This window comes from Homo sapiens, chromosome 18 (genome assembly GCF_000001405.40).
Source record: "Homo sapiens chromosome 18, GRCh38.p14 Primary Assembly".
NCBI classification, from domain to species: Eukaryota; Metazoa; Chordata; class Mammalia; order Primates; family Hominidae; genus Homo; species Homo sapiens.
In genome coordinates, this window is record NC_000018.10 from 59429850 (window position 1) to 59442119 (window position 12270).

A 12270-nucleotide genomic window follows, 5' to 3' on the forward strand; every position below is an offset into this window, starting at 1 on the left:
CATGAACCCTTATTGGCTCTTGTAGCGCCCAATACTTCGTAGCTTATTGCGGTTTGTAATCACATATTTATGTGATTATTTTGTCTGGAAGGATCCTTATCTGTTTTGCCAAAAATCCCCAGCAGGACAGGGATTAAGATGTTTTTGCTCCCAAATGTGTCTGCAGTGCATAGCACAGTGCCCAGATTGCAATAGGCACTTAAATATTTACTAACTGAAGTGAGATGTATAAATACAGGTGAACTTCAGGACACTAAACACACCCTGCTAAGGGTGGCTAAAATCCCTTAGAAATAAGCTCCCATTTTATCCTACGACTCCACTTCCCATATGGCCCAAATGGCAAAAATTTCCCTCCTCTTATCTTTACATAGAAGACTTTAGCTACCAGTTCATGAGAGTTCCTCCCTCCAACTTTATTTTTAAGGTAATCAACTTTCCCCCCACCCTAAAAGGAAATTTTCTCTTTCTAAAAAGTCTGCTTTATTCAAAAAGAGGCAGACTGGTTCCTGGGGTTTCTGCCCTTCTAGGGGAAAGTGCCACATTTAATAAAACTTTTTTTTTTTTTTAAGGGATGGGGTCTTGCTATGTTGCCCAGACTGGCCTTGAACTCCCGGGCTCAAGTGATCCTCTCACTCCAGTGTCTGGGACTACAGGCGTTTGCCACTGCATCCCCCAGAGGAAATCTTACATGGAATTCTAATCCCAAACAGAAAACTAGTTGGACATGGAGTCACTGTGAGTGCAGCGCTGGGGGCAGGGAGCACTCAGTCTTCACAGGCCTCTTGTTTGTGAGCTCCTAAGGCAGCTCCAATGAGCGTCTAGAGGGTTCTCGGTTTGAAAATCTCACCCTGGGAATCTCAGCTAGGGAACTGGATCTCTGAGACCCACATGCAGTGGTACCTGCGCCTTCAGACCTTGATTCAGATTCAAATGCTCTGAGCACACCCAGACCTCAGGAGGTGGCTGACCCAGATTCTCGATTCCAGCTCTCAAGAGAAATGTACCTCTCCGTCTCCTTGTTCACTGGGTAAAAAGATAACTTGCTTCACAAAACCAGGTGTCAAGACAAAACACAGTAGAGCAATGTAAGAAAAATAACTTTGTTATTAAGCATATACAATCATAACAAAAGTACATCATAGTATCACATCCATAATTGCTTGAATGCTAACTTGACTGTTACATGGACCTGTTACAAATAATGAACAACAGAGCTACTCCAGTATATGACTAGTCACTGTGAAATAAAAACAGACCCACGGCACACATGAAATTCCTAAGGGGACTTGCTTTGATCCCCTGGGGAGTAAGAGGGTCCTTTTCTATGATTTCCCTAGAGCAGTAACGTTTGTTGAGGGAGCATGTGAAGTTCATGATTATATGCCTTAACAATTACAGTCATGGTGTGTTTTGTTTTCCAAATGGAAAATTATTTTTGACTTGTTGTGAGATATAAATATTGACTATGCCAGGAAAAAATTCATCTATTTCCCTGAACTCATTATTAATAACTTTAGATGGCTCTATTCTACTTGTTGTTTGGCCTGGATTCCTCCAATAACTTTCCTTTTCAGGAAGGTTATTTGACAGATGTTAAGTCTGCAGAATGAGGCTGCTGTGGTTGTTTCTGGGGCACAGGCTGAGAAGTGGGGAGAGAGAGTGGGGAATGACACCCAAAATATGATGGGGGAGTTGCTACCTGAAAACCTACAGAAATGTCTGGCCTGGAGAAGCCCTCCCTTGCATACCTGGGAACAGGGCTCACCAGGCCCACAGCAATTATGAACCTTGGAAAGATGGCCAAAGCCAGGGTGCTCTTCGCTGGTATTTGGTGGGGTAATACTCACCTTTCCTTCCTTCCAAAACCAATGAACATTTATTATTTACTTGTTGGGCTATGATACTCCTGAGTTTATACAGTAGAAATGACTTCCTTTGGTCAATGAATCCAATGGCAGATGTCGGGCATTAACTCAGAAGGTGAGAAAAGGCACCATTCTCTCTGCAGCCCCACTCACTTTTGGCACAGTATAGCTTATAATTTCTCCCTCTGGAACTGGGAAGGGAGGGGGGTTTCCTAAACTAAAATGCATGCCCTCCATGTACTATTTTCTTTTTTCGAGACGGAGTCTCACTCTGTAGCCAGGCTGGAGTGCAGTGGCGCAATCTTGGCTCACTGCAACCTCCACCTCCCGGGTTCAAGCAATTCTTGTGTCTCAGCTTCCCGAGTAGCTGAGACTACAGGCGTGCACCACCACGCCTGGCTAATTTTTTTTTTTATTTATTTTAGTAGAGATGGGGTTTCACCACGTGTTGGTCAGGATGGTCTTGATCTCCTGACCTCATGATGCGCCCGCCTCAGCCTCCCAAAGTGTTGGGATTACAGGCATAACCACTGTGCCTGGCCCCATGCACTATTTTCAACAGCATATTTTTATTCCCATTGCTTTCCAAGAACAGAGGCAACTTATGAGGTCCTGTGAAGAGGGTGCAAAAAATCGAAGTCAACATTTCTACTAACAGGTTGAGGAGGTGTACAAAGATCTTTTTCCCTATAAAACATGAAATGACCTAGAAGCACTGTTACAAATCTTACCCCAGAAATAGCTTTCCCATTAGGTTTTGAGCAGAAGTCCTGTTTAGACAGTAAAGCTTTTTCTATCTAGTTAAAAGATACATTAGAAATAATGATGCCTTATGATGTCCTATCTTTGAAAAATATGATTTGGGCATAAAAAGTACATATCAGTCTTGCAGTAGTCCAAGTTTTGAAAATCTGAGGATTAAAAATTATTTTCTAAATTAACTTGGTCCAGCAGATTGACATTATAAAATACAGGTTACCATAAGTTTTGCTGGAGAATATTATCTGGAATAGTTTCATGAAACCCAGACAATACTACTTTCCATTAATTCTTTTAATATATTATTCTAGCCTATGGCCAAACATGCAGTTTGGTTGCATTTTATGAGCATTTCACAATAAAGATCATATTTCTAAATACAGTTCACTGTCAAAGAAAAGGTATTAAAATTCTTCTTTTAAAAAAAATCATAGATGGACCTAGCCATCTCTCATACAGCTTGTGCATAGTTTTGTGTGTTTTTTTTTAAACATTCATCCATCCACACCCTTTAAATACCATGCTCCACAAGCAGGCAAACATTAAATATATTCCAGATGGGAATCAACAGCTGTTCAGTTCCTCTCTCTATAAACCCGTGGTTGGTGTGGCCCTCTGTCATGAATGTTGAATTTTGCAGAGAGAAGGAGGAAGGAAAGATGCTAGATAAAGAGCACCCCACCCTAAAAAGAAATTTTTTCTTTTTAAAAAGTCTCCTTTATTCGAAAAGAGGCAGACTGGTTCCTGGGGTTACTGCCCTTCTAGGGGAAAGTGCCACATTTAATAAAACTTATTTTTTTTTTTTTAGGGATGGGGTCTTGCTATGTTGCCCAGACTGGCCTTGAACTCCTGGGCTCAAGGGATCCTCTCGCTCACTTTTTTTAAAGTGAAAGTTTGCTTTCACTTTAAAAATGTTAGTGGAGAGTCACCAGGAATTTTGCATAAATGAGACATAGAGGAGCAAAGTGTTCATGAAAGACTCGGTCACATGCTGACTGACATGAGTCCTGCATTTCCAACGTGGTAGGAAGAAGGGAAGGAAGACTGTTGCCACTAGAGGTTTGCAAAGCCCCTTCCTAACATTCTTAAGGAAGAAGACTGAAAGGTGGCATTCAAACACAACAAAAGGGATATTTTTTTTTTTTTGAGACAGAGTCTCGCTCTGTCGCCCAGGCTGGAGTGCAGTGGCACGATCTCGGCTCAGCGCAAGCTCCGCCTCCCAGGTTCACGCCATTCTCCTGCCTCAGCCTCCCGAGCAGCTGGGACCACAGGCGCCCACCACCACGCCCGACTAATTTTTTGTGTTTTTAGTAGAGACAGGGTTTCACTGTGGTCTCGATCTCCTGACCTCGTGATCCGCCCGCCTCGGCCTCCCAAAGTGCTGGGATTACAGGCATGAGCCACCAAGCCCGGCCTTTTTTTTTTTTTTTTTTTTTTTTTAATGAGACAGAGTCTCCCTCTGTTGCCTAGGCTGGAGTGCAGTAGCGCAATCTAGGCTCCCCCCGCAGGTTAAAGTAATTCTCCTGCCTCAGCCTCCTGAGTAGCTGGGATTACAGGTGTGTGCCAACACGCCCAGCTAATTTTTGTATTTTTAGTAGAGACAGGGTTTCACCATGTTGGTCAGGCTGGTCTCGATCTCCTGACCTTGTGATCTCCCCGCCTCAGCCTCCCAAAGTGCTGGGATTAGAGGCGTGGGCTACCACACCCGGCCAAGAGGGATTTTCTTTAAGCAAGCTTTCACAGTAGTGGAGTTAAATGATGTGGGCTAAAAGGTGGAGGCAAAAAAGCCAAAAAGAAATGGGAAAGGACATGGCAGGATGGGAAATTCCAACATGAGCTAATATGAGTGTGAGAACGATCATTTGCAGGAGAGTGAAAATCTCCCGCAAAGGTAGATAAAGAGCCACTTTGTGTGTCCAGTGAGAAAGTGGACTGTGAGTAACCTATAAGCTGCTCATTGGAAACAAGAGGGCCCTCAACAACGTTACAAAGGAGCAGATCATCCTTCTGGTCTCTTGCTCCTGGTGCTTCTGAATCCACAGCAAACCTTGGCAGGAACATGCTTCCCTTTGCCACCCAGAGGTGCTCTGAGAAAACACTCTAACTCACTAGGAGGTGGAGATATAGACCTTTTTCTGAACTGCTTCTCACATGCAGGGGAAAATAAATCAAAGAGAAGGCCTAAAAGAACTGGAACTTGGACTAAATTAAAGAAAATTAAGAAAAAATGAGAATAGGAAGGAAGTTTTTGCAAACAAGGAAAACCACTATTTTTTTTTCTCCCCATCCAAGATAACTTTCAATAGTGTATTACTCTCAATATGTTGGTGGCAAGCTTGGTTGGCTCCAGACAAAAACTTGTAATACCCAAGGAGAAAAAATTTACCTACCGCTGCTGATGGCATTAGTGAGGTCAGCCCAAGCCAGCAACCTCCTTGCAGACTTCAGCCCCACTGTATATTGGTTCAGCCTGGATCATGGCACCTAATGGTACCTTCTGGGCACCTGCTCAGAACCAGGAATTCTGCACCTCTCTCTAAGCTCAGCCAGTTTATTGAACAAATAATCTATATTTATAGAGCAGACTCCACTGTTGATTAAACAGCTTTAAAATATTATAGCAAACGAGAGCCCATTGTTTTAATGTGAATCCAGGCATTTCACTTTGTTTTTTTGAAAAGAGAGTTTAATCTTCTTCCCTAAATAGGATACTTACAGATAAGCATGGCATGAAACCTTAAGCACCGTATTTGAATTTTAGAATGTGGCAATCTATATAACAGTAAATATATGACTGTGATTCTTTTCTATCTTCTCTAAACGCCATTCAATTCTCTCCTCTCTTTAATTGAATTTGGGAAACAAGGTTTGACAAAGGGATACAATATTTAAAGTCTACTAGAAGCACAAGGAAAAAATTCTCCACCAAAGCACATCGACACGTTTGTCCTCCCCACCCCTTTTTAACTGAAGAGCCCCAATTTTGATACTAGAGGAGTTATGGTCTATTGTGAACACACATCTTAGAAGTAGCCTCACATTTTCTTAGAGCTCACTTTGTCATTTTCCCCCTTTTGATACTCTGCCAAATTTAACTTCAAGAATTTATGATTTAAGACACTGTGAGAGTACTTAAATCCAAAGTTCCTGGAAAAATAGGATGTAAAAGAAAAGTTACAATGCAAACCACCCCAATGGACTCTTAGTGAGAAGCAGGTAAATCAATCATTCACTCCCTCATGTCTGCAGGCCTAGGAGGGGACTCTGAAAATAGCATCGTATTTGGAAGAAGAGGAGTGGAGAGACGTCAGGAGAAGAGAAGAGAAAAATGTATGTTTTCTAGGTCTCCAGTGGTCTTTCTTCTCTTTAGATGGTTTAACTGCAGGTGAGTTGATCTTTCTCTTCCTTTGGCGTGACGGTGTTGGGATGTGCTATGGGTAGAAGTCTCTGGGGGCTCTCAAGTCTCTTGTCTCAGTTCTTCTTGGATGGTCATCTCCAGAGCCCAGGTCCATGGCTTCTGGGTAGCTGGGAAATTCCTGAGGTAAAGGGAACTCCTCTGCTGAAGAGTGAGTCCGGTGCCCGAACACCTTTTCCTGCAGCTCAGTGATGTCATTGCGGATGTCAGCCAGCATAAGTAGCAGGAAGTCGAAAGAACCAGGGGGTCCCTGTGTACATGGGAGGAATCAAAGCTAGAATACGACAGACAGCAATGGCCTCCGGGGCTCCATGACTTGACCTGCTGCTTGCTGGCAACTACTTTCTCAATAACTCTGTGCCCCAAATGGAGCCAATGTGAGGACTGCTACAGGAGCCTGGGGGTCCTCCATATTGTTTTCTAATTCTGTCACTTCTCAGCTGAGCTTTGGTGATGTATTCACCTTTCCTCCCTCCTAACGCTTTATCAAATCCAGTAGAGGAAAGGATATAAGAATAACTCTCCTAGGTTACTTTCCAAAGCAGTCTGGAAGATGCTTATGAAGGCAGCAGAGCAGTGGTTAAGAGACTGGGGTTCTGTTGGATTTGAATCTCATCTCTGCCGCTTACTAGCTGTGTCATCTTAATTTCTTGTGGTTCAGTTTCCCCATCTGTAAAACGGGGATAATAATAGTCCCAACTTCATAGGGTTTTGTAGGATTCATAAGTGAGGATTTAAGCAAGTAAATACGTGTAAAGGGCTTTGAGCATAATACGTATTCAAAAATGTTATCTGGGCCAGGTGTGGTGGCTCACGCCTATAATCCTAGCACTTTGGGAGGCCGAGGTGGATGGATAGCTTGAGCCCAGGAGTTCAAGACCAACCTGGAAAACATGGTGAAACCCTGTCTCTACAAAAATTTAACAAAAATTTAGCCAGGTGTGGTGGTGGGCACCTGTGGACCCAGCTACTTGGGAGGCTAAGGTGGGAGGATCACTTGAGCCCAAGAGGTCGAGGCTGCAGTGAGCCAAGATTGTGCCACTGCACTCCAGCCTGGGTGACAGAGTGAGACCCTGTCTCAAAAAAAACAATGCTGTTATTTTTTAAAAGCAAAATTATTAAAATGTTTATAAGATGGCTGACTATAAGCACAAACTAAATGAAGTTGAGAGGATGTTGTAAAGACGTCAACTCCTCGTTGACTAGGAAAGGTCCAAACAAAATCTTCCTAATTTTTCTATGTATTGAGTATCCTTTATCATCATATAGTATTTACTAAGCCTTAATTTCATATAGCGCTGTGTGGGGCATGGTAAAAAAGAAATGCACAAACACGCATGTTCTGGGCTTGTCAGAAGCTTGTAGTAAAATCGTTATCATCTCCCGCAACTGCTGCTACAGCAGCGGGCACCGTGGAAGCAGAGCTTACACCGTAAAGCACTAAGAGAGGCACAGTATTTTCATATCATTTGACCCTCACAGTAGCCACTTCAGGGATGGCAGGTCAGATTCCACTATCGCCACTGCACAGTGGGGGGCAAGAATGCCCAGAGACCCTCAGTGAAGTGCCCGTGGTCAGAAAGCCAGCAGGTAGAAGAGTTGAGATGGGAACCCACGACTCCTACCTCTGTGGCCACAGCCGCTGGATTTCAGAAATGATACTTCTTCAGAAGCAGTGACGTGGTTTGAATTTTCTATGCTTTTGAATACTACTATTTCTCATTTTTAATCTCCCAGATACTATGCTTATATGCAGCTAATTTCTTCTCAGGTCCTAAACAGCCCTGCGTGGTTTTGCACTTTTTAAGAGGAGATGGCCATCTGGCCTGCTAGGGTTGCAGCAGTGGCTAAATTCTCAAGTACGCAGAGTTATGATTTAAACCCATAGATTTCCTTCCTAGACCTTTCAAATGTTTTATGATAATACTTGGAAACAGACTCATGGCATAGCAGGGTTTTGAGCTTTAGGAAAGACATTTCAAATAAAGATTAGCCATGATAAAAGAGAAAACAGCAACAGAAAACAAATTTGAAAAATAAATCCAAACTAGCAGCTAAGGGCTTCTATGACTCTCTTCCTAACCACAGAGTTCTGTTCAGGTGGGCTGAGTGGCATCAGGAAGGGGCGGGCTTTTGCTACTAGACCAACCTATAGGCTCATCAGAGCTGCATCCCTGAGAACGTTCCCCTGGGGAAGCAGGACACAGAGTGCTACTTACTGGAGACCCTCTGGGCCCAGGCGCTCCTCTCTCCCCCTAAAAACAGAAAGGCCAGGGTTAGCTTTCTAGAGCACATGGATATCACAAGAATAGTCTCTATTTATACACCCACCATAACCACTTCCCTGCACAAAACAATAAACATTTTCTATAGAAAACATATGTAAAACTGAGCTGGACTCACGGGACCACTTATTTGAACAGGACTGCTTGGGTCAAGTGTCTCTCATTCTGATTTCCCTCAAGCCCATCTATTTTCAAACCTTCTTGGCAAGAGGAATGTTCATATTTCCCAACAGCATGTGGAGTAACAAACTTTCTGAAGTAACTCACACTGACTTCTTTGTGAGGCAAAAAAGAGCAGGCAGCTCTCAGAGGGGAACCACCCTGCTTGCAAAAAGAATGGAGCATCTCCTGTTCCTGAGAAATCTCACAGAAATGGAAACACACAAAAAGCTATCCCGTAAAGCAACACTGGTTAAAGAGAAAAACACATGTGAGAATCACAACACAGAGGCTCATTTAAAATTTACAGGGGTCACTTTTCCTATGAGTGGTTGTGGTGGTTGTTTTTGTCTTTGGGGTTGGTTTTGGAATTGAAGACAATGGCTTTTCAGATTTTGTTCCCAGCTTTGGGGAAAAAGTTCTATCTGGTATCTGTGTCTCACTTCTGCTGCATGCAAAATGGGGTTGGTAAACAGTGTCTGGTGAGCTTTCCTGGATGTCAGTGCAAGAGGTAGAAAGTGAGAGACCTTCAGGCCGGGAGCGGTGCCTCACACCTGTAATACCAGCACTTTGGGAGGCTGAGACGGGCAGATCACCTGGGGTCAGGAGTTTAAGGCCAGCCTGGGTAACATGGCGAAACCCCGTCTCTACTAAAAAATCCAAAAATTAGGCCGGGTGTGGTGGCTCACGCCTGTAATCCCAGCACTTGGGGAGGCCGAGGTGGGCGGATCACGAAGTCAGGAGATGGAGACCATCCTGGCTAACACGATGAAACCCTGTCTCTACTGAAAATACAAAAAAATTAGCCAGGTGTGGTGGCGGTCGCCTGTAGTCCCAGCTACTCGGGAGGCTGAGGCAGGAGAATGGCGTGAACTCGGGAGGTGGAGCTTGCCGTGAGCTGAGATCGTGCCACTGCACTCCAGCCTGGGTGACAGAGTGAGACTCTGTCTCAAAAAGAAAAAAAAAGAAAAATCCAAAAATTAGCCGGGAGTGGTGGTGCACACCTGTGGTCCCAGCTGCTTGGGAGGCTGAGGCGGGAGAATTGGGCTTGAGCCAGAGAGGCAGAGGCTGTAATGAGCCAAGATTGTGCCATTGCACTCCAGCCTGGGTGACAGAGCAAGACCATCTCAAAAAACAAAAACAAAACAAAACAAAAAAATCGAAAGTGAGAGACCTTTAGCTTGTGAGGACCACTCATAAGGCTTACCTTAGAACCATCTCTTCCTGGTGCCCCTGGTGGACCCTGTAATACAAAAGGATCTGGTTTAACCACAGGCAAAAGCATGGGACAAAAACACATTTTCCCCCAAAAAGGAAGTGGATCTCTGATAAGATACTGACCACAGGGCCCCTCCGGCCTTGCTTAATGTGGGACAGATCAGGAGATGGTCCCATGGGTCCCATTGAGCCCCGTGGGCCGGGCTGCCCAGGAGGGCCTGGCATACCGGGGAAGCCTGGGCTTCCCTTTGGTCCTGGTGAGCCTGTAATCAAAGAACACCTCATTAGCTCACAGCACATGAGAAGGACAAAGGGCCCTGGCTAACAAGAGTCCAGGACCCCTGCAGCCATTTCTCTTTGTACTCTCTCTGCCTTTGCCTTCTGACATCTCCATCAGGCTGTCCCACAGGCATTTTAAACTTGATACGATCAAAAGCGGCTTCCCCATCTTCCTCTCTTTTCGCGGACTGCCAGTCATACATCCACTCAAGCCAAAAACTGGAGAGTCTTCCTCTATATTTCCCTGTTTCTGCAACCTCCTTTTTGAATCAGTGGCCAGCTCCTGTGCATTTTACCTCTTTAACATCTCACAGCTGTCTGCTCCCTTCTATCCACTGGATCACAGCAGAGTAGTGGCCACCACCACAGAGAAGTGGTGATCATGGCTGGAGAGCAGTACAGGTTTTAGCATCAGGGAGACTTGGGTTTGAATCTGACAAGTTGCCTGAGCCATCTGAGCTTTAGTTTCTCATCTCATCTGTAAAAGTGGGCTAATAAAAATCTTCCTTATGGAGTAGTTGCATTACATGAGATTTCAGATATATACACAGCACTTAGTATAGTACTTCACACATAGTAAGTACTAAAACATCTGCTAGGCCTTCCTTATATTTGCTTTGACTCTTGCCTCATTGCTAGTCTTTCTGCCCCGAACCAGTCTTTTCACCCCTTGCCCATTTTTGATATTTCTATAGGGATGACACATCTAAAACAAGTCTTACTATGTAACCCACCTACTTTCAACCTTCTGGTGCAAATGTCTCAAGGCACTCGGTGGGTCAGCAAACTCACTCTCTCTTGCAGGCCCCAGAGAAATATCCCTTACTTCTTAGTGAGGGGTAGGAAATGTTCTTCTGGCTAAGATTTGCCACAGGTACAAGGCATGCTGGGGGATGAGTTGGGGGATATGGGGAAGATCATCTCACCCCAAGGCCCAGAAGCATAGGTCATGCTTAGGATTGCAGCTGGAGCAGGAGAACTGAAAATGTCCCGTTGCCCCACAACTCTAGCATGGAGTAAGTAATAGCAATCTACAGTGTGGGGAGAGAACCCCTCTGTGGCACAGGTGTGTGTGTAGGGGCTGCTGAAAGCTCAGAGTATAAACACTGAGAAAAATCCACTGGTAACCTAGGCCTCCACTAAGCATAAGGTAACAGCATCCTTCCATTGGAGGAATTATTTGAAGACTGTGGAACACAAAGTAAATATAGTGACAATAAAGCCAAAACCCAGCTCAGTTATTCATTAGGTTGACTTAGCTTCCCATGGCAGTGGCCTGACAAAAGAAGAGAGTACCCATCTCCAGGAGTGATAACCATGTGCCTCAGTCTCTACTGTTTCTCTGCAAATGATGTCTGGCATTCAATCCAAAATTTTCAGACATGGAAAGAAAAGGGCTGGGCACAGTGGCTCATGCCTGTAATCCCAGCACTTTGGGAGGTTGAGGCGGGTGGATCACCTGAGGTCAGGAGTTCGAGATCAGCCTGGGCAACATGGTGAAACCCCATCTCTACTAAAAATACAAAAATTAGTCAGGTGTGGTGGTGGGTACCTGTAATCCCAGCTACTCAGGAGGCTGAAGCGGCGGTTGCAGTGAGCTGAGATTGTACCACTGCAGTCCAGCCTGGGTGACAAAGCGAGACTCCATCTCAAAAAAAAAAAAAAAATCAAAACAAAAAAACACATTGTCAAGTAATAGAACAATCAGCAGGACAAGCCTCAGAGGGGACCCAGATGTTGGAATAATGAGATATGGGCTTTAAAATAACAGCATGTGAACGGTGCTGTTGGAAAAGATAAACAGTGTGTCTGAGCAGATGAGGGATTTCAGCAGAGAGATGGAAATTAAAGGAAAAAGTCAAATGGAAATGAAAAATATAATATCATGTATGAAAACAATATAGGCTCATCAACAGACTGCTCCCAGCTGAGCAAAGAATCAGTGAACTTAAAGATAAGTCAACAGTTACTCAAAGTGAATCACAAAGAGGAAGATAAAATGAAGCATCCAAAAGAGGTGAGATAATATCGAACCATCTAACATAAGTGTAATTGGAGTCCAAGGAGAAAAAGAAAACCCTACAGTGGCTCCCCTCTGCATAGAGAATAAAGCTCTAACTCCTCAGCATAGTATCCTTGTTCATTCTTGTCTTTCTTGCCAAGCATTTTTTCCATGATTGCCTCCTTCCTAATTGCCCCATAGTCCCATCCTCCCTGAATAAACCATACCATAGCACACAATCCAGCTCACACTATTCTTTCTGTCTTGTCTCCATCACCACAGATC

At 44.2% G+C, this 12270-nt stretch overlaps 1 protein-coding gene across 6 annotated transcripts in view; it reads right to left on the reverse strand.

Annotated features, from left to right (window-relative positions):
• Positions 1090 to 12270, reverse strand: part of CCBE1 (collagen and calcium binding EGF domains 1) — a 266783-nt gene continuing 255602 nt past the window's right edge. For 5 of the 6 annotated variants that reach the window (XM_024451091.2, XM_017025557.2, XM_047437302.1 and 2 more), the window contains 4 exons: positions 9828 to 9967; positions 9694 to 9729; positions 8262 to 8297; positions 1090 to 6292 (listed from right to left, as the gene is read on the reverse strand). In XM_024451091.2, the coding sequence (XP_024306859.1) occupies positions 6059 to 6292; positions 8262 to 8297; positions 9694 to 9729; positions 9828 to 9967 (446 nt within the window). In that variant the 3' untranslated portion in view covers positions 1090 to 6058. Of the gene's footprint in view, positions 6293 to 8191; positions 8298 to 9693; positions 9730 to 9827; positions 9968 to 12270 lie in introns of all 6 variants that reach the window. The other variant, XM_017025558.2, reaches the window with a different exon arrangement.